This window comes from Homo sapiens, chromosome 10, assembly GCF_000001405.40.
Source record: "Homo sapiens chromosome 10, GRCh38.p14 Primary Assembly".
Classification (NCBI taxonomy): Eukaryota; Metazoa; Chordata; class Mammalia; order Primates; family Hominidae; genus Homo; species Homo sapiens.
The window spans coordinates 102,737,053-102,757,839 of NC_000010.11; the positions used below are offsets into that span (position 1 = coordinate 102,737,053).

Genomic DNA, 20,787 nt, shown 5'->3' on the forward strand with positions numbered 1-20,787 from the left:
CTGAAGCAGGAGAATTGCTTGAACCTGGGAAGTGGAGGTTGCGGTGAGCCGAGATTGCACCACTGCACTCCAGCCTGGGCAACAAGAGTGAAACTCCATCTCAATAAATAAGTAAATAAATAAATAAATAAATAAAGGGACAGGCAGAGGGCTGACAACCGAAACCCCTCTATTTCCTTTGTGTGTCCAAGAAGGAGGAAGCAGGGAGAAGGGATGATGGAAAAGGGAAGGGATACATCAGACTAGGGGGTGGAGGGTGACTGACCCCAGGAGACAAGTGTAGCTTGAATATATACCCAGACAATTCCAGTCTCCCCTTCCTCAGTACTCTAGTTCAATACTACTTCCATGGTCATCTGCTAGACATCTCTTGTGTCCCAAGCACTGTGTTTGTAATCTTGTGGAGAAGATGGAAGTTGAAACGAAGAACCATAGCCCAAGGAGAATGAAGTCAGGCCTGCGTAATGGTAAAGCAACATTGTGGTATACAGAGGCCAATAATAATCCTAGATGGAAAAATCAGGAGGGCTTCTTGGAGGTGATATTCATCTGAGGGTAACTTACTGCTTGTTCCTGGTGGCATGCTCATAATCCACTTCTCTCTTTTCAGTGAATTGCCAGTTTCCTATCTGGAACCGAAGCTCCAAGACACTATCAAGGCCAAGTATGGAGAACTTGAGCCTTATGTCTACTTCAATAAGGGTCTCTAAATGCCCCACTTCAGCAAGGACCAGTCTATTCCCATATTCACCAGCTCCTCCTTAGCTACGTGCACACTTGTGTCCTCCTTCCCCTTTGCCAACAAGGCCTGAAGGCCAGGGTAGATTGGGGGGTGGGACAATGAATGCCTCATACTTACACCCTGGTACTGGTTGATTGGACCTCAGGGGAAAAAAGTGAAAAAGGGTAGCAAAGGCCAATGTCTTCTAGCTGCTTCCTCAACCCCTGTCCCCTGGAGACCAGAAGCTGAGGCCCTCTCAGGGAGGAGACATCCAAGCAAATCATTTGGAAAAGTTAGGAAACCTTTAGGATTCTGGTTCCAGCCAGGGTTGAGGAAAAGACCTTGGATCAAAAGGAAGCTTCTATACCTCTTTCTTCTTCGCTTCCTCCTCTCCCAAGCAATGGAAACTTTTACCCATGTAATTCTAGCTGAACTCAGGAAAAAGAAGGGGGAAAGGACTCTGTCCCCTTGGGGCTCATCACCCTTCCACATCCTCCTCCTCGTTGCCCCCTGGTCAGGCAGCTTCTTTTTTTTTTTTTTCAAGATGGAGTCTTGCTCTGTCGCCCAGGCTGGAATGCAGTGGCGCGATCTCGGCTCACTGCAAACTCTGCCTCCTGGATTCAAGCGATTCTCCTGCCTCAGCCTCTCAAGTAGCTGGGATTACAGGGCACCTGCCACCACGCCTGGCTAATTTTTGTATTTTAGTGGAGACGGGGTTTCACCATGCTGGCCAGACTGGTCTCGAACTCCTGACCTCAGGTGATCCGCCCGCCTCAGCCTCTGAAATTGCTGGGATTACAGGCATGAGCCACCACACCCAGCCCGGACAGCTTCTTTGGGAGTGCTGCTAACCTTGAAATTATCAGACACTTAGGAGTTATTAGTGCTAAAAAGGGGACCGTGCAAGGCAGCAGAGTTACATGGTTCTTCAAATCATGTCTGAACCTATTCTTGGAATCTTCTCTATAATAAGGGAAGTTCTCTTACCCCACTGCCACATACCTCTGTTTTAAAAGATAAGTCCACTAACTGTGAGTAAAAATGATATATATAGGCATTAACCACACACTTTAATGGGTATAATTTCCTGGCTGCCTCCCTTCCTCAGCCCATTAGGTTAAACACCAAAGAAAGACTGGTGTGTACTGAATAGGAAAGGGAAGTTTTATTTGGAACCTTCTAAGAGGAAATCAACCAGGACCAAAGAGCCTTAAAGGACACACAGCAATGCACAGCCACTTCCCTTCCCCAGCTTGGCTGCCCTAGGTGATTTCTCAAGCTCCTTGGGGGACTGTTGTTTCTCATCTGGAATCAATGTGTGTATGAGTTTTGTCTGGTAGGATTGCTGACTCTGTCCAACAGATATCACTGTGAATTGAATAAATTTGTTGAAAGAGCACACAGGCACACATACACACAAACTGTAAACTAAGTTAATGAAGCCTGAATGGAAAGCAGGATCTGGCCTTACTTTGGCCTTGGCATGTCAGAAGGTATCACAACTACTATATAAGGGGAACTTGTCTGATGCCTGGAGGCTGTTGTTTATTTCCCTCATTAAAGGGGAAATCCACCTGTCTCCACAGGAAGCTCCAGATCTCCCAGAATGGGAGCTGTGTTGCCCTAGAGCAAGAGTTGGCAAGCTATGGCTCAAGGGGCCAAATCCACCTGCCACCTGTTTTTGTGCAATTGGAAGCTAAGAATGTTTTTACATTTTTAAAGAGTTGTAAAAGGGAACAACAGGAATGACAGAGACCCTACCTATGTGGCATACAAAGCCTAAAATATTTACTGTCTGATCCTTGACACAAAAAGTTTCCCCTGCCCTGGAGCAGTGGTTCTTAAGCACATGCATCAACCGGGCGCAGTGGCTCATGCCTGTAATCCCCACACTTTGGGAGGCCGAGGCAGGTGGATCACCTGAGGTCAGGAGTTCGAGACCAGCCTGATCAACATGGTGAAACCCGATCTCTACTAAAAATACAAAAAATTTGCTGGGTGTGGTGGCATACACCTGTAATCCCAGCTACTCGGGGGGCTGAGACTGGAGAATCACTTGAACCTGGGAGGTGGAGGTTGTGGTGAGCCAAGATTGCGCCACTGCACTCCAACCTGGGCGACTCCGTCTCAAAAAAAAAAAAGAAAACACATCAGAATTAGCTGGCAGGCTTGTTAAAGCACAGATTGCAGGATCCATTGCCAGATTCTGTCACTCTGGGCTGGAGCCTGAGAACGTGCATTTCTAGTCATTGCCCGGTGATGCTGATTCTGTTGGTCTTGGCACCATACGTGGAGGAGCACTGCTCTAAGGGGAAAGGGCCTCCTCCCCGAGGCCAAGGAATTCACTGCAACTTGATTTTTCTCCCCGTTTAAAAAAGTTAAAATATAACTCACATACCATAAACTTAGTCCTTTTAAAGTGTACAATTCAGTGGTTTTTAATGTAGTCACAAAGTTGTACAAGCATCACCACTAATTCCAGAATTATTTTGAGACAGGATCTCACTCTGTTACCCTGGTTGGAGTGCAGTAGTGCAATCACTGCTCATTGCAGCCTCAACCTCCTGAGCTCAAGTAATCCTCCTGCCTCAGCCTCTGGGGTAGCTGGGACCACAGGCTAATTTGATTTTTTTGATGAGGTCTCACTATGTTGCCCCAGGCTGGTCTCGAACTCATGGCCTCAAGTGATCCTCCTCCCTCAGCCTTCCAAAGTGTTGGAATTACACACATGAGCCACTGCATCTGGTCTCAGAACATTTTTCTTAGCCCCAAAAGAAACCCCATACCCATTGGCAGTCACTCCACATTCTCCCTACCTGCCAGCGCCTCACAATTCACTTCCTGTCTTTAGAGATTTGCGTATTCTGAACATTTCATGTAAGTGGAGTAATGCAGTATGTGGCCCTCTGTGTCTGGTTTCTTTCCTTAGGATAATGTTTTCAAGGTTCATCCATGTTGTAGCATATGCAATTTGATTTTAGCTGGTGTCTGAACAGAAAAGTCTGTCTTTGAGCTAGCTTCTTTAGGACAGGAGACCTGGCTTTATTTCCAAAAGCAAATAGGAAAAGGGAAACATTACCAGAGCCAGTAGAGCTTGGAAACAACTCCTGACTGATGTTCTTTCAGAACATACAATGTTTCCCCTTCCTTCTCAGCTCCTCAAGCCTCTTGGATTTCCTGTTCTCTTATAGACAACTGCTCTTTTGGAAATGTCTGGAAGGTATGTGGTGGCTATAATGTTCAGGGACATTCTAAAAAGTGGTCACTCAAACTGCATCTCAGTCTCATTTTGTAACATCTCTCTTCTTTGAGTTGGCTGCTGTGGGATGTTGAATAAGAGGCAGTTAAGGTTACTAAAAGGCCTTGGTGTGGGAAGTGCTAATCCAGACTGTCCTATCCAATAGCTCAGCTTGAGCTTTCAGGTAAAAGGAGAAAGGGAAGTTGGGGCAAAATCCCCTGTGTTTGCCAAACTGAATTGGGGTTTCTTATTTATTGAGAGAAAGAGGGTATCACTTTCTTGCCCAGGCTGGAGTGCAATGGTATGATCATGACTCATTGCTTCCTCAGCCTCCTGGACTCAAGTGATCCTCCTGCCTTAGCCTCCCGAGTAGCTTCTTTTTCCTGAGTTCGGCTAGAATAGCATGGGTAAAAGGTTCCATTGCTCGGGAGAGGAGGAGGAAGGGAAGAAGAAGAGGTATAGAAGCTTCCTTTTGATCCAAGGTCTTTTCCTCAATCCTGGCTAGAACCAGAATCCTAAAGGTTTCCTGACTACAGGTACATGCCACCATGCCCAGCTAATTTTTAAATTTTTTGTAGACAGAGGGCCTCACTATGTTTCCCAGGTTGGTCTTGAACCCCTGACCTCAAGCAATCCTCATGCCTTGGCCTCCCAAAGTGTTGGGATTACAGGCGTGAGCCACTACATCCCACCTGGGGTTTCTTAGTGATGATGAAACCTAGCCTTTATGTGGAAGACTTACAACTTTTTGAGGCCAGGAATTAGAGACCTTGTGCCATGAAAATAATTTGGTCCTTCCCTAGTACTCAATTTTTACTTCTCCTCTAAGGAGCTTGACTTGTGGAATGGATAAATTTCTAAGAAACGAGAGATTGGCAAAAATACGTGTCACTTTTTATAGTACTTGGAAAAGCAGGATCAAGATAAAGGCAGAACTATGGACTTTCTTAAGCTGAGGGAAGACTGACTTAACTCTTACCTGTTTCCCATTTTTCCAACACTTAAGCCAAGAACAACTTCCTCTGGGCTCAGATGTGGGCTAGACTGGGCCAGGCTGTAAAACACTTTGACAGGTTTTTGAGAGGAAATTGACTGCTAAAGTCAACTGTGTTATTTGCCATGGGTCTTCCTTTGTCCATTTATTTTACCAACTTTTTTTTTTCTTTTTTTTTTGAGACAGAGTCTCACTCTGTCACCTAGGGTGGAGTGCAGTGGCACAGTCTTGGCTCACTGCAACCTCTGCCTCCCAGGTTCAAGCGATTCTTCTGCTTTAGCCTCCTGAGTAGCTGGGACTACAGGCATGCACCACCACGCCTGGCTAATTTTTTGTATTTTTAGTAGAGATTGGGTTTCACAATGTTGGCCAGGCTCGAACTCCTGACCATGTGATCCGCCCACCTCGGCCTCCCAAAGTGCTGGGATTACAGGCAGGAGCCACCGCACCTGGCCTTTTTTTTTTTTTGAGACAGGGTCTCACTCTGTTGCCCAGGCTGGAGTACAGTGGCACAATCAAGGCTCATTGCAGCTTCAATCTCCCTAGCTCTGGTGATTGTCCCACCTCAGCCTCCCAAGTAGCTGGGACTACAAGTGTGCACCACCATGCTTGGCTAATTTGGCTAATTTAGTTTTTTTATTTTTGTAGAGACAGGGTTCTCTCCATGTTGCCCAGGCTGGTTTCAAACTCCTGAGCTCAAGGGATCTACCTGCCTCAGCCTCCCAAAGGGCTAGGATTATAAGCATGAGCCACCACACCTGGCTATTTTACCAACATTGATCAAGCTCTGGTTGAGCCTTGTACAGGATATTATAGGCTTTAAAAGAAGAAGAAGAAAGACCTGGTATGCTGTACAAAAAACTGCAAACCAGGCACGCAGATATAAGTGTTACAAGAATCCAGAAGAAGCAGCAAGGAGATGGGGCTAGGAGTTTGTAAGCAGGGAACTGTATCTGTAATATGTAAATGAAGTTACTGGGCATCTCTTCAATGGTCAGTGTGAGTGGAATGTGTGGGAAAATGTAGTGGTGAGAGGTGAGATAAAGAGAAGTAGACAGGGACGAAGTCACAGAGAGGACCGTGTTGGGAAGTTTGGACTCTCTATTCTGTAGGTAGATGAAGTATTTAAAAGAAGAGGCCATGATATAGTAATATTTGGTTTAATGTGGTATGGTTGTAGTGTGTGGCGGAAATTTGAGAGGAAGAATTGTCAACTTGCAGGGCAGCAGGGAAGCCATTTGTATTTAGCTAGAAGAACATGGATTGAAGCAATGGATGATGGATTTCAGAGCAATTTGTGAAGTAGAACCAGAATTTTGTCCGTCGAACTTGGGGTGACGAAGCACTATGCCTCAGATAAAGGTACTATCTTCTAGGGAATTCAAACGGACCTAAGCTGCTATTTGGGCAGTTGAGACCAAGAGAGGCATCCTGGTAATAGTGCTGTGCTTCAAGACAAAAGACATTAAAATATTTTTACATTGCAATTGTTTTCCTCTTCAGGAGCGCCTGGTTACCTTTCAGGAATAATTTATTTTCCAACACCCTTGAGAAACATTAAACCTTTTTTCTTTTTTTGATGTGGAAAACTGGAAAACTAGTACTTCCGCCACACTCAAGATGGCTACATCAGAAATAGACTTTTCCATCCACCTGGGTGGCCCCGCCCCCTTATGAAGCTGCTTCCGCCACTCTCTGCGGGTTGGGACGAATTTTACACTTCTTCGCAGCATTCAAGATGGTCCGGCTTCCTCCTACTTTTTATTGGCTGCATCGCTTCGTCTTCAGGGGAAGGCGGGACTTATATTTGATCGACAGCTACATTGATCAATGGACAAAGGGCAAAGGCCAATGAAGCGCTGGAACTGGAGAGTCTCTCGCGTGTCTGGGAGGGTGTTTTGCGCGGGGCGGGGTGGAGCAGAGCCGGAAGCGGGAGGGGAGCGTCAAACAGGAAAAGAAGGGAAGAAGGAAGAAGAGGGTAGAGGAGGAGAGGGAGGAGGAGGAGGGAGGTGGCGGCGCCGTGGCGGAGGAGCAGGAGCAGGAGGGGGATGGAGAGGAGAAGGCTCCTGGGTGGCATGGCGCTCCTGCTCCTCCAGGCGCTGCCCAGCCCCTTGTCAGCCAGGGCTGAACCCCCGCAGGTAAGGGGGAGGGGGCGTCTGGGCCATGTTGGGTCCTGGGGGTCGTCGAGGCCTGGCTGGAGGGGTCTGAAGGAGTGTTGTTGCCAAGAGTTGAGGGGTCCCGAGAGGGGCGTCTATGCCTGGCGTGGACAGGATCTAAAGGGGCGTCGGTATTTAGCTGAGGGACACCTGTGACAGTTTTGGTGTCAAGGAGGTGGCAGAGGCATGATGCCAAGCGAGTGAGGGGCGTTTGAGACGGCAGGTTGGTTAGGTGGGCTGGGGTGACTGTGGCTGGATAGCGGTGCCAAGCTGAGGATGTGGGCCTTATTCGTGTCCCTCTGTGGAGCAGGTGTCCCAGGCAGTAATGCAGTATGTACGTCTGTGTGTGTAGGGGTACACAGGCTATTGAGTTGGCCTGTGAGGGAGGGGATCCTGAGGATATTTCTTTAAGGATGGACTGGGGAAAGTTCCGAGGGCATCTTAGTACGTTTAAAAAAAATTACTATGTTCCTGGGAGAGACTTGGCCCCATTTTAAAATCTGTAAGCCATGGCGCACTTGGTTGGAGGGAGGACTCTCAGAAGGCAGGTGGGATGAAACAGAGTGGAACCCCTCAGGAGGAGGAGCACACTTGAGCTGTAACAAGCTCTTGCTGTTAGGCTGGCTGGCCTGGGAGAGCAAGTCACGGATGCTGATCTGAGCCAGCTCAGGGCTTTTGACCAGAGGGTGGTTCTGATGCCAATATGGGCAGCAAATGGAGCACCCTAGCTTTTCTTGCTGGGTGGCTTGCTCTTTATCCAGGCAGAGAAGCTTGCTTGTGCTGATTCCAGCTCCAGCTGGCATTTCAAAACCCTAATGGGAGCGTTACTCCTGGTGCCAAGTTGGGTGGGGTGCAGTGGGGGCAATCACCCCTCCTTCCTTGCATGTGGCAAAGCTTTATGATTCTTTTTTCTTCACTTTCTGTTCTTTTCCCCGTTTTTTCAGAAAGGCATACACACATAGACGCATAGCGTAGTGGCAAAGTTTATACAACTTAGCGCTTGAACTTGTGTTGTGAACAAGAGCAGAAACTGAGTGCCAGCAAAAATACTTATCTTTTCCCTAGGAGTTTTAGGGCTGCCTTTTCACAAATACATCTTGTTTTGCCCATTATCCTCTATTTTAAAATACTGATTAAAAAATAAGTTGAAATTCACATGACAAAAACCATTTTAAAGTGAACAATTCAGTGGCATTTAGTACACTTACAATGTTGTGCAACTACCACCTCTATCTAGTTCCAAAACATTTTCATCACCCCAATAGAAAACCTCGTCCCTACTAAGCAGTTACTCTCTGTCTCCCTTTTCCCCCAGCCCCTGGCAACCACCCGTCTGCTTTCAGTCTCTATGGATTTATCTATTCTGGATATTTTATATAAACGGGATCCTACAATATGTGGTCTTTGTGCCTGGCTCCTTTCACTTAGCGTAATGTTTATAAGGCCCATCCACATCGTAGCATGTACTAGTACTTCATTCCTGTTCATGACCAAGTAACATTCTGTTATCTGTAAACCACAATTTATTTATGCATTGAAGTGTCTAATTTTTCCTCAGGATATGTTTGTGTATACTAGAAATACCATGTGAAAGGAATGTAGCTCATTTTCTAGCCCAGTGTATTCCCTTTTCGAGGGTTGGGACCCTTCTGTTTTAGCCTTTGTTGGGGTTGTTTTTCCAGTGGAAATCATAAACTGGCAGAAGAAATATATTTTTTTTGTTTACTAGAAATGTTATAGCCCTCAGGACCAGTAAAGTTAAGTATAGGTATTGACAACAAAATATAGAATATAGTAAATACAGAATTTACTTTTCCTTTGCACATGTCTGTTTCTGTAAGTATCTCGAAAAGGCTGTCCCCAGTAACCAATAAATAACATCGGTAGAGGTTTGGTTTAGGAATGTCAGAGCCTTTGGAGATGGGCTGGTCAAAGATAGGAACTAGATCCACTTTTTCAGCAACGGGGATGATGGAAAGTGGAGGTTCCTACCAGGTCGTGGAGCCTGGGAGGTGTTGTGAACATGTGGAAGGGGATTGTTAATGTTATATTCTAATTGCAGTTTGCAAACCACAGGCTGCTTTCTTATATCTGTGGCACTTCTAATACTTAATTTTGGGGACAGGTGTCTTTTGTACTTTGTTCCATTTGGATGAATGCTATCACTGACCAACAGCTGTTACACGGTTACAATTCCTGCAGAGAAGGGAAAGTTTTCGTAATGAGCAGTGGCCCTCTTCCTAACCAGCCCCCACATACCCTCACTCCTGACGCTCCCTATACAATTCCATCCCCCACCTTATACTCCTGTCTCTTTCTGTCTGGGAGTACTAGATATCTATAGTGAGATTTCTGTTTTGAATTTTAACCTTCGGAATGCAAGTTACTATATAATTATTAACTCTGAATCCACCGCAATTTAGTCAGTGTATTTTTTTGGGTTTTTTTGGGGGGGGTGGGGGAAGGGGTTGCTTGTACAAATCAGTAAGGAAAAAAAAATCCCAAGGCCATTTTGGCACAGGGCATACTTTAAGTACCCATGGTCCTTAATTCAACAATGAAGTCCAGCTAACTTTGAATTCAGGAGGACTTACTATACTCATTCTGTATCGAATAATGGTATTGGTACCTTATTGCATTTCTCCCACAAAATTGATCTACTTACAATACAATCTTTTTTTTACATGCACAATCTTTTTTTTACATACACATTTACCATCAGAAATAAATGATACTAGGCAACTTGCTTTCCCTGTTACCAGCTCTGCACTGAAACAGCCATTTCTTGTTTATGCAGGCAGGCCCTGGAAAGTTCATCAGCTAGTTCATTCTGTGGTTAGGAACTTAGACTTAACTCTCCTACAGGTTATGACATTACAACTCACAGACGTGAATCCTTAAATCTATAAAGAATGAAAAAGGCTGGGCATGGTGGCTCACCCCTGTAATCCCAGCACTTTGGGAGGCCAAGGCAGGCAGATCACAAGGTCAGGAGATCAAGACCATTCTGGCCAACATGGTGAAACCCTGTCTCTACTAAAAATACAAAAATTAGCCAGGCATGGTGGCACACCTGTAGTCTCAGCTACTCGGGAGGCTGAGGCAGAAGAATCGCTTGAACGTGGGAGGTAGAGGTTGTGGTGAGCCAAGATCATGCCACTGCACTCTAGCCTGGTGACAGAGCGAGACTCCGTCTCAAAAAAAAAAAAAAAAAAAAAAGAATGAGAAAACAGTAGATGCTCCAAATAGTAAGGCTCCGACAGCCTTGGCGTTTGTTTCCTCCAGTTAAATTATCATTGAGATACATAGAGTTTCTTTTGGTTGTTTAGATTTAACCAGAATGTTTGTTTTTGTTGTTGTTGTTTTTGTTTTGTTTTTGAGACAGGATCTCACTCTGTTGCCCAGGCTGGAGTGTAGTGGTGTGATGTGATCTTGGATCACTGCAGCCTCGACCTCCCAGGCTCAAACGAGCCTCCCACCTCAGCCTCCTGAGTAACTGGGACTACAGGTGCATGCCACCACGCCCTGCTAATTTTTGTATTTTTCTGTAGAGATGGGGTTTCGCCATGTTGCCCAGGCCGGTCGCAAACTCCTGGGCTCAAGCGATCTGCCCATCTCAGCCTCCCAGAGTGTTGGGATTACAGGCATGAGCCACTCTGCCCAGCCTAAACAGAATATTTGACTATGTTATTTAAAACAAAGTTTTGGTAGAAATGTCTTTTTTTAATAGGGTAACTCAGCCAGTGGTTTAGGGACAAATCTCTAGAGATGCAGTCCTTACCTTTCCTTTGCCAGGCTTAAAACTTTGAGCTGGGCCTGGCACGGTGGCTCACACCTGTAATCCCAGCACTTTGGGAGGCCGAGGCAGGCGGATCACGAGATCAGGAGATTGAGACCATCCTGGCTAACACAGTGAAACCCCGTCTCTACTAAAAATACAAAAAATTAGCTGGGCATGGTGGTGGGCACCTGTAGTCCCAGCTACTCGGGAGGCTGAGGCAGGAGAATGGCGTGAACCTGGGAGGCGGAGCTTGCAGTGAGCCGAGGTCGCGCCACTGCACTCTCCAGCCTGGGCAACAGAGCGAGACTCCGTCTCAAAAAAAAAAAACCAAACAAACAAAAAAAAACTTTGAGCTGGATGGGGGCCTCAGTTCCTGCTATTTTTTCCCACCTCACCCTCAATGGTATACCCTTTGGTTCCCACCTTACCTTTACTCACCTCCATTCCCAGTTTTCAGTCTGGAAGCCCTACTCCATTCTCCTTTCTTACAAATGGTATTTCAATGCCATCACCATCATTCCTCCTTATACAATAGTGGGATTCGAGACTTCCAGATTCTAATCCCTTTTACCTCACCTGCTTAGTGCGTTTGATGTACCAAAGTGTAAAATCAGCACCTTGAGTTTCTGCAAACTCTTTCAGTGGAATTCAGTAGGCATCAAAGAATGGACATTTACTGAAATGTCTACTCTTTGCAGCAGGCTATTATTGCTAGGCCCTGGGAACCATCAAATGAGTATGGAATCCCTGTTCCCCAGGAGCTGGAAATCTTGTGGCAAGGACAGATAGCGCACACAGTGAATTGTAATCCAGAGGTTTTGCTGAAATGGAAGTACAAACAAAGGACTGTCAGCACAACTGATTCTGCTAGGGCAAGAGGAAGATGGGGTGCTAAGAAGAACTTCATTAAGGAAAAAGCATTTGTTCAGGACTTTAAAGGTTGATAAGCATGGGTAGAGTATGGACCAGGAAGGGGAAAAATGGATTCCAGTGTGGAAGAATGAAAATGGAGAGTGTGTTTGGAGGTGACATGTACTCTGTGGCAGAAGCTTTGTGTGTGGATGTGTAGAGGAGTGTGGAAGTGGGGGAGGCTCGAAAGAGAGGCTGTTGTCACATGGTCAGGAGGCCTTTCATCCATTCATCTAAGGCTGCACCATCCAGTAGAACCTTCTGTGATGCTGGAAATGATCTCTCTCTGTGCCGTCCAATTCAGTAGCCACTTAGCCAGGTGGCTGCTGAGCATTTGAAATGTGGCTAGGATAACTGAGGAACTGAATTTTGAAACATATTTAATTTTGAAACATATTTGTTTATTTACATATTTTTATTTTTTAGAGACAGAATCTTGCTCTGTTGCCCATAGGGTTTCTGTCGCTGGAATGCAGTGGTGTAGTCGTAGCTCACTGCAGCTTTGAACTCCTGGGCTCAAGCGATCCTTCTGCCTCAGCCTCCCAAGGAGCTAGGATTGTTGGTGCATGCCACCACACCTGGCCCTATATTTAATTTTTTTTCTTTTTTTTTTCTCTCTAATAAAAAAAATTTTTTTTTAAGTAGAGATGAGTGTCTCACCATGTTGCCCAGGTGGGTCTAGAACTCCTTGGGCTCAAGTGATCCTTCCACCTTGGCCTCCCAAAGTGTTTGGATTACAGGCGTGAGCCACCATGCCTGGCCTAATTTTTTTTAATTAAAAAAATTTTTTTATAGAGCAGAAGTCTCACTATATTGCCCAGTCTGGTCTTGAACTCCTTGGCTCAAGTGATTTTCCTGCCTCAGCCTCCCAAAGTGCTGGGATTGCAGGCGTGAGCCACTGTTCCTGGCCCTCCATATTTATTTATTTATTTATTTATTTTTTGAGATGGAGTTTCATTCTTGTTGCCCAGGCTGGAGTGCAATGGTGCAGTCTTGGCTCACTGCCACCTCTGACTCCCGGGTTCAAGGGATTCTCATGCCTCAGCCTCCCAAATAGCTGGGATTACAAGCACTGCCACCATGCCTGGGTAATTTTTTTTGTATTTTTTTTGTAGATACGGGGTTTCACCATGTTGGCCAGGCTGGTCTCGAACTCCTGACCTCAGATGATCTGCCCGCCTTGGCCTCTCAAAGTGTTGGGATTACAGGCGTTAGCGACCACGCCTGGCTGCCCATATTTAATTTTTTATATCAACTTTATTGAGATATAATCAGGTCAGGCGCAGTGGTTCACACCTGTAATCCCAGCACTTTGGGAGGCTGAGGCGGGTGGATCATTTGAGGTCAGGAGTTCTAGACCAGCGTGGCCAACATGGTGAAACCTCATCTCTACCAAAAATAGAAAAATTAGCGTGCACCTGTAATCCCAGCTACTCAGGAGGCTGAGGCAGGAGAATCGCTTGAGCCCCATAGGCAGAGGCTGCAGCGAGCCTAGATCACGCCACTGCACTCCAGTCTGGGCGATAGAGTGAGACCCTGTCTCAAAAAAAGAAAAAAAAACTTTATTGAGGTAATTTACATGCCAAAAAAATTCACCCTTTTAAAGTATACATAAATTGGTGTTTCAGTATAGTCACAGAATTTGTGACTATCAGTGCTAATTTTAGCATATTTTCTTTTTTTTTTTCTTTTGAAACGGTGTCTTGCTCCGTCGCCCAGGTTGGAGTGCAAACTCCGCCTCCAGAGTTCAAGCGCTTCTCCTGCCTCAGCCTCCTGAGTAGCTGGGACTACAGGTGCCCACCACCACACCTGGCTAATTTTTTGTATTTTTAGTACAGATGGGGTTTCACTGTGTTAGCCAGGATGGTCTCGATCTCCTGACCTTGTGATCCGCCCGCCTCAGCCTCCCAAAGTTCTAGAATTACAGGTGTGAGCCACCACGCCCGGCCCAATTTTAGCATATTTTCTTTACCCCAGAAAGAAACCCCATAGCCATTAGCAGTCACTTCCCTTTCTAGCCCCTTTTCTTCCATCCCTTAGTGACCACTGATCTACTTGCCATTCCTATGGATTTGCCTGTTCTAGACATTTCATATAAAGTGAATGGTACACTATGTGGTCTTTTGTGGCTTATTTCACTTACCATAAGGTTTTCCTTTCTTTTTTTGAGACAGAGTCTCACTCTGTCACCCAGGCTGGAGTGCAGTGGTGTGATCTTGGCTCACTGCAACCTCTGCCTCCTGGGTTCAAGTGATTCTCCTGTCTCAGCCTCCTGAGTAGCTGGGACTACAGGTATGCACCACCATGCCTAGCTAACTTTTGTATTTTTTAGTAGAGATGGGGTTTTGCCATGTTGGCCAGGCTGTTCTCGAACTCCTGACCTCAGGCGATCTGCCCGACTTGGCCTCCCAAAGTGCTGAGATTACAGGTGTGTGCCACTGCGCCCAATCAAGGTTTTCTTTTTTCTTTCCTTTTTTTTTTTTTGAGACACGATCTCCCTCTGTTGCCCAGGCTGAAGTGCAGTGGTGCAATCTCAGCTCACTGCAATCTCCACCTCAAGCAAACCTCCTATCTCAGCCCTCCTAGTAGCTGGAGCTACAGGTGCGCACCCACACCCAGTTAATTTTTGTATTTTTTGTAGAGATGGAGTTTCACCACGTTGGCCAGGCTGGTCTTGAACTCCTGGGCACAAGCGATCTGCTCGCCTTGGCCTCTCAAAGTGTTGGGATTACAGGTGTGAGCCACCACACCTGGCCAATGTGATATTTACTTAAAATAATTTAAACTAAATAGCTGTATGTAGATAGTGACTACATATTGGAGGATACTGATCTAACAACTTTCCAGAGTAGGGATTTGGTACAGTCAAACCTAGTGGTCATGTCATGAGCTCTGGGGTCAGACCACCTGAGTTCCAAATTTGATACTGTCCTTGAGCAAGTTACATAACCTCTTTGTGCCTCAGCTTCCTCATCTATAAAATGGGAATTGTACTAGTATGGGGTTGTCATGAGGTGAAAAGACATAATATATGTAAAGCTCTTGGAATATATTCAATGATTAATAAGTATAATAATAATTATCACCATTATTGCTGTTGGCAGTCCTCAGAGTGTATTATGGTTTGTAAGTTAGTGTCAACTCCCAGACTAACTTCAGGAACTGAGATCTGGAGATTTTGCAAGTGACTTTCTTTATTCTGTTCTATGTCTGAATTTAGGTTTGGGGAGAATTTTGTCCTTCCAGAGGACATTAGTCACTGTCACAGCTTGGGAGTGCCACTGGTATCTAGTGAGTGGAGGCCAGGGATGCTGCTTAGCATCCTGGAATGCTCAGGACAGCCCCCCACGACAAAGACTTTTCCAGCCCAGAATGTCAGTGGTCCCGAGGTGGAGAAATCCTGGCTTAGTGGGACCTGCTGTGGCCTTACCAGGTCCTGTTCATTATTGCAGAGCTTGGGGTCAGCTTTCTTGCAAGAACAACATAGCATTGTGAAGTGTATGAAATAACCTTGGACAGCGAGTTTTCGGTGGGACTTGAAGCTTTGATATGCCGAATCTCACTGCCTTTCAGGTTTGTTGATGTATGTGGTCAGTCAGCTCTGTCTTGTCAGCCAACATCAAACATTTTGAAAACACGTTTTTTTGATTTGTGATTCAGTAAGCAGGTGAGCCTCCCTTATTTACCCCATCTTGAACTTTCTTTCCTCTTGCTTTGATCTGCTCTGTGGTTTTATTTTAAGAACATGATTTGCTTTGCTCCCAGTGAAAGCCTGATGGTCAGTTATTTTCTGTGTCCTCCATAGTCCTGCAACCAATCTGAACTGAGTCATGTTCTTAGAACTTTTTCCTTTCCCCATTCCAAGTCCTGGCTCTACTCTGATTTTCGGCCTCAGGAATGTTGGTTTGCTCTCACGCACGCTTAGCCTGTGGAAATCATTAGGTGTTCTCAGGGTCTGTCACAAGAGAAGCTAAGTGTCCTGGACCTCAGGGTGGCTGTGTCTTGAGGAGAGTCCTCTTTTCAGGCCCCCAAGAGGCAGCTCATCTGTGGATGTTTGAGCCGTCGGGTCTTTGTTGTTGTCATGGGTATCTTGCATGGCTTTGGATTCAAAACTTCACCTGTCTTTTGAATGCCTGTCCACCCATACCCTTGAGAGGACCTCTTGCTTTCCTGCCATCAGCTATTAGGACTAACACTTGGGAGATCATCAGGTTCCAGGTGGTAGAATGGCTTGGGTTGGTTCCTTGCTCCTACTACCCCATTCATGGACACCACTGGGGCCGCTGATCCCACTGTAACTGCACAGCCAGTAAGAGCAGCCACTGAGTGATGGATTATCCTGCCTCCGCCTCTCAAGTAGCTAGGACTACAGGCACACGCTACAGCAACAGAGGGTCTTGGTGGCTTCTCTCCTTGGTGGCATACAGTAGACAGGCTGAGGTCTGGTCTGTGGGCACCTCCCTTTTGAAACATCCTTTTCAGTTCCACTAGGTGGAGCAAAGTCTGGCCTGAAAACTGCATGCTATGTGGAAACCACAAAGAAACACAAGTAAATCCAGAACATTGCAACCTGGGAGGTCAAGAAGGGGGAAACAAATCCCATCCTATTGAATTTTAAGGCTTGTTGATACAATTCTGAGCTTTCCTGATCTGGGGATTAAGTAGGTCATCCTCTCAGACTTGCAGATCACCCGTCTTGCATGGTCTGGGTTTTTGGGATATGCTTGCTTACTCAGTTACATTCCCATAGCTCTGATTTATTTACTTTTGGTTTTCTCCTTTCCACACTTTCTTCTGTGGGAAATCAGAGGAGTTGTTTTTCTTCTGCTCCTGGTGCTGTCGTCTTCACAGTGCCAAAGCTAAGTTTTGATTCAAGATCTCAGGTGTTTAAAATAATTTAACTTAAACATTTTTGGAAGAGGTAAAAATAAATGTAAGATGTTACAAGAATATCTGTGGCTTGGAAGGGTGGGTCCTAGAATGGAGAGTTACAAAAACATGTCTGTTTTGATTTTTAAATATCTAGCAAGACAAATGTTATGTTGTAACACTTTTATTACACATTCTTTCAGATCAGAGGCATGCATTCATGGAGAAAATATTCGTATTTTTCAAAATTCTACATGTTACTTTTTGGTTTGCCATTTCCTAATTTATTTTCCTCATTTAAAATTCCACCTGACAGTTTCATCAAACACAGAAACAACAAGGGAAAAAACCACAGCTTAGTTTATTGATCAGATTTAAATATTTTTCTCTCTTAGTAGTTCATTTGGGAGAAGAAATTACTATTTGGCTTTCTACACCAGGATGTTGGAATATTGTAACTCTTTGGAACTTAAATACAGAATTGAATAGTGTGAGTTCATCCTGCTTACTCCTTTCTTTTTCCCTGGATAATTTGTCTTTAAGTTTTGCAAATCCCTTTGCTACATTTGGGAGGGGGTAAGGAGCATAAAACCTACCCCAGTATGATTTGGCACTATGGCTGACTTTCCATTTTTCTTCCTTAGAGCTGATTGCTGCTTTTCTTTGAGCTTTAAAATACCTTTCACCTTTTTTTTGGAGATGAAGTCTTGCTCTGTTGCCCAAGCTGGAGTGCAGCGGTGCGATCTCAGCTCACTGCAACCTCCGCCTCCCAGGTTCAAGCGATTCTCCTGCCTCAGCCTCCCGAGTGGCTGGGACTACAGGCATGTGCCACCATGCCTGGCTAATTTTTGTATTTTAGAAGAGATGGGGTTTCACTATGTTGGCCAGGCTGGTCTCGAACTCCTGACGTAATCCACCTGCCTCGACCTCCCAAAGTGCTGGGCTTACAGGCATGAGACACCGCGGCAGGCCCCTTTTTACATTTTTTGTTTTTGTTTTTTAGCGTCAGGGTCTCGCTATGCTGCCCAGGCTGGAGTACAGTGGCGCAATCATAGCTCACTGCAGCTTCGAACTCCTGGGCTAAAGCGATTCTCCTGCCTCTGCCTCCCAAGTAGCTAGGACTACAGGCACACACTACAGTGTCCAGCTAATTTTGTTTTATTTATTTATTTATTTATTTATTTATTTTTTGAGATGGAATCTTGGTCTGTCACCCAGCTTTAAAATACCTTTCACCTTTTTTTTTTGAGATGAAGTCTCGCTCTGTCGCCCAGGCTGGAGTGCATTGGCACGACCTTGGCTCACTGCAACCTCCGCCTCCTGGGTTCAAGCCATTCTCCTGCCTCAGCCTCCCCAGTAGTTGGGATTACAGGTGCGCACCACCATGCCCAGCTAATTTTTGTATTTTAACTAGAGACGGGTTTCACCATGTTGGCCAGGCTGGTCTTGAACCCCTGACCTTGTGATCCACCCGCCTCAGCTTCCCAAAGTGCTGGGATTACAGGTGTGAGCCACCGCACCTGGCCTTGTTTTATTTTTTGTAGAGGTAGGGTCTTGCTATGTTGCCCAGGTTGGAGTACAGTGGTGATTCCCAGGCATAGTCATAGTGCACGGCAGCTTTGAATCCCTGGCCTCAAGTGTTCCTTCTGCCTTAGCCTCCTGAGTAGCTAGGACTATTACTTTTTATTTGAGATGGAGTTTTGCTCCATTGCCCAGGCTGGAGTGCAGTGGTACAATCTTGGCTTACTGCAACCTCCGCCTCCTGGGTACAAGTGATTCTCCTGCCTCAGCTCCCTGAGTACCTGGGATTACAGGCACACACTACTATGCCTGGCTAATTTTTGTATTTTTATTAGAGATCGGGATTTCACCATGTTGGCCAGGCTGGTCTTGAACTCCTGAGCTCAAGTGATCTGCCTGTCTTGGCCTCCCAGAGTGCTGGGATTACAGGTGTGAGCCACTGTGCCCAGCCTACATTCTTTTTAAATGACACAAAAACAACACGTGCTCATAACAATGTTAAATAATAGATTTTAAAATGTTGGCCGGGCGCGGTGGCTCATGCCTGTAATTCCAGCACTTTGGGAGGCCAAGGCAGGTGGATCACGAGGTCAGGAGATCGAGACCATCCTGGCTAACATGGTGAAACCCCGTCTCTACTAAAAATACAAAAAATTAGCCGGGCGTGGTGGTGGGTGCCTGTAGTCCCAGCTACTCGGGAGGCTGAGGCAGGAGAATGGCATGAACCCGGGAGGCAGAGCTTGCAGCGAGCCAAGATGGCCTATGGCTCAGGCTAGAGTGCAGTGGCTAGATATAGACAACCATATATCTATATATAGTCTATATATAGAGAACCATAACATTGTTTGGTATGGGTAGGGTTCTTTATTTGTTTTAAAAACAAAAATGTGGCCGTGCGTGGTGGCTCATGCCTGTAATCCCAGCACTTTGGGAGGCCAAGGCGGGTGGATCACGAGGTCAGGAGTTCGAGACCAGCCTGGCCAACATGTGAAACCTCGTCTCTACTAAAAGTACAAAAGTTAGCCAGGCATGGTGGCGCATGGCTGTAGTCCTAGCTACTGAAGAGGCTGAGGCAGGAGAATCACTTGAACCCGGGAAGCAGAGGTTGCAGTGAGCCAAGATCGTGCCTCCATACTCCAGCCTGGGTGACAGAGCAAGACTCTGTCTCAGGGGGGTGGTGGGGGGAAGGGATCATTTGTAATGTAGCATTTCACAAGATGCATTTTTTTTTAACCTTAATATACTGTGGACTAATTTCCATATTGTAGATACTCCTCTGATTTCTTAAAATACCTGTATTCTGTTGCTTTATACCGTGATTTATTTAAACACTTCTCCATTGTTAATGGAGTTTTTGCCATTTCACACAGTGCTACGTTGAACATTGTTGTACTTATTTCTTTTTGCAATTGTGCTAGATTCCTAAAAGTGGAACTGAGGATTGTGTGGTTATAGGGTATGCACATTTAAAGGCTGGAGTAGATAGTGCCACGTTGTTCTCCGGTATGGTTGTATCAGTTTACATTCGCATCAATAGGATCTGCAGGCCGGGTCCACTGGCTCACGCCTGTAATCCCAGTACTTTGGGAGACTGAGGTGGGCAGATCGCTTGAGCCCAGGAGTTCGAGACCAGCCTGGGCAACAGAGCGAGTCTCTGTATCTTTGAGACAGAGTCTCGATCTGTTGCCCAGGCTGGAGTGCAGTGGCACAATCTCAATTCACTGCAGTCTCTGCCTCCTGGGTTTAAACAATTCTCGGGCCTCAGCCCCATGAGTAGCTGGGATTACCAACGTTTGCCACCACACCTAGCTAATTTTTTTGTGTTTTTAATAGAGACAAGGTTTTGCCATGTTGGTCAGGCTGGTCTCAAACTCCTGTCCTCAATGATCCATCCATCTTAGCCTCTCAAAGTGCTGGGATTACAGATGTGAGCCACCACACCCAGCCCAATTTTTAAATTTTTTATAGAGACAGGGTCTTGCTATGTTCCCCAGGCTGGTCTTGAATTCCTGGCCTCAAGTGCTTCTGCCTCAGCATCCCAAGTAGCTGGGATTACAGGCACAAGTCACCGCACCCAGCGATACTATTATTCTTGTTTGCACATCATCGTGCCCTTGAGTGAGAAGAGTGATGGGGTCACCGCCAAGGCGGATGGGCACTGTTTGTCAAGTATGGGGGTCGTCACCCATCTTGACCACAGGGCTAGACCACATGTGGCTCTGTCTGCTCTCATACACAGTACTGTGCTGCAGTGAGGGGGATCCTTAACTTCTGTCCCCAACCTCCATTTGGCACTTCCTGTTCTCAGGGGAAGATGGTTTCTGAGCCTTTTTTTTTTTTTTTTTTTTTTTGTTGATACAAGCTCTCCCTGTGTCACCCAGGCTGGAGTGCAGTGGCATGATCATAGTTCATGGCAGCCTGACCTCCTGAGTTCTAGCGATCATCCCACCTTAGCCTCCTTAGTAGCTGGGACTATAGGCGTGCACCATTATGCCCAGCTAATATTTGTATTTTTAGTACAGACTGGGTTTCACTGTGTTGACCAAGCTGGTCTTGAACTCCTGACCTCCAGTGATCCTCCTGCCTCGGCCTCCCAAA

General features: G+C 45.9%; 2 protein-coding genes across 11 annotated transcripts in view, besides 3 other annotated features; both read left to right on the plus strand.

Annotated features, from left to right (window-relative positions):
• SFXN2 (sideroflexin 2) overlaps positions 1-6,440 on the plus strand; it is a 28,857-nt gene extending 22,417 nt beyond the window's left edge. For all 10 annotated transcript variants that reach the window (NR_146992.2, XM_047424568.1, XM_011539261.3 and 7 more), the window contains one exon: positions 611-6,440. Coding sequence is in view for 9 of the 10 variants with exons in the window: in XM_047424568.1 (XP_047280524.1) it covers positions 611-710 (100 nt within the window). In the remaining variant the exon portion in view is untranslated. The remainder of the gene's footprint in view (positions 1-610) is intronic.
• Positions 6,543-6,592: an enhancer, noted in NCBI's record as "active region_3948". NCBI's record gives its function as "activates an Ori minimal core promoter by ATAC-STARR-seq in GM12878 lymphoblastoid cells {active_cell/tissue: GM12878}" and the evidence as "EXISTENCE:reporter gene assay evidence [ECO:0000049][PMID:35858748]".
• Positions 6,873-7,032: a silencer, noted in NCBI's record as "silent region_2773". NCBI's record gives its function as "represses an Ori minimal core promoter by ATAC-STARR-seq in GM12878 lymphoblastoid cells {active_cell/tissue: GM12878}" and the evidence as "EXISTENCE:reporter gene assay evidence [ECO:0000049][PMID:35858748]".
• The window catches only part of WBP1L (WW domain binding protein 1 like), a 72,315-nt gene continuing 58,423 nt past the window's right edge, over positions 6,896-20,787 (plus strand). Inside the window, exon 1 of the mRNA NM_001083913.2 lies at positions 6,896-7,091. Coding sequence (NP_001077382.1) covers positions 7,002-7,091 — 90 coding nt within the window. The 5' untranslated portion in view covers positions 6,896-7,001. The remainder of the gene's footprint in view (positions 7,092-20,787) is intronic.
• Positions 7,533-7,762: an enhancer, noted in NCBI's record as "active region_3949". NCBI's record gives its function as "activates an Ori minimal core promoter by ATAC-STARR-seq in GM12878 lymphoblastoid cells {active_cell/tissue: GM12878}" and the evidence as "EXISTENCE:reporter gene assay evidence [ECO:0000049][PMID:35858748]".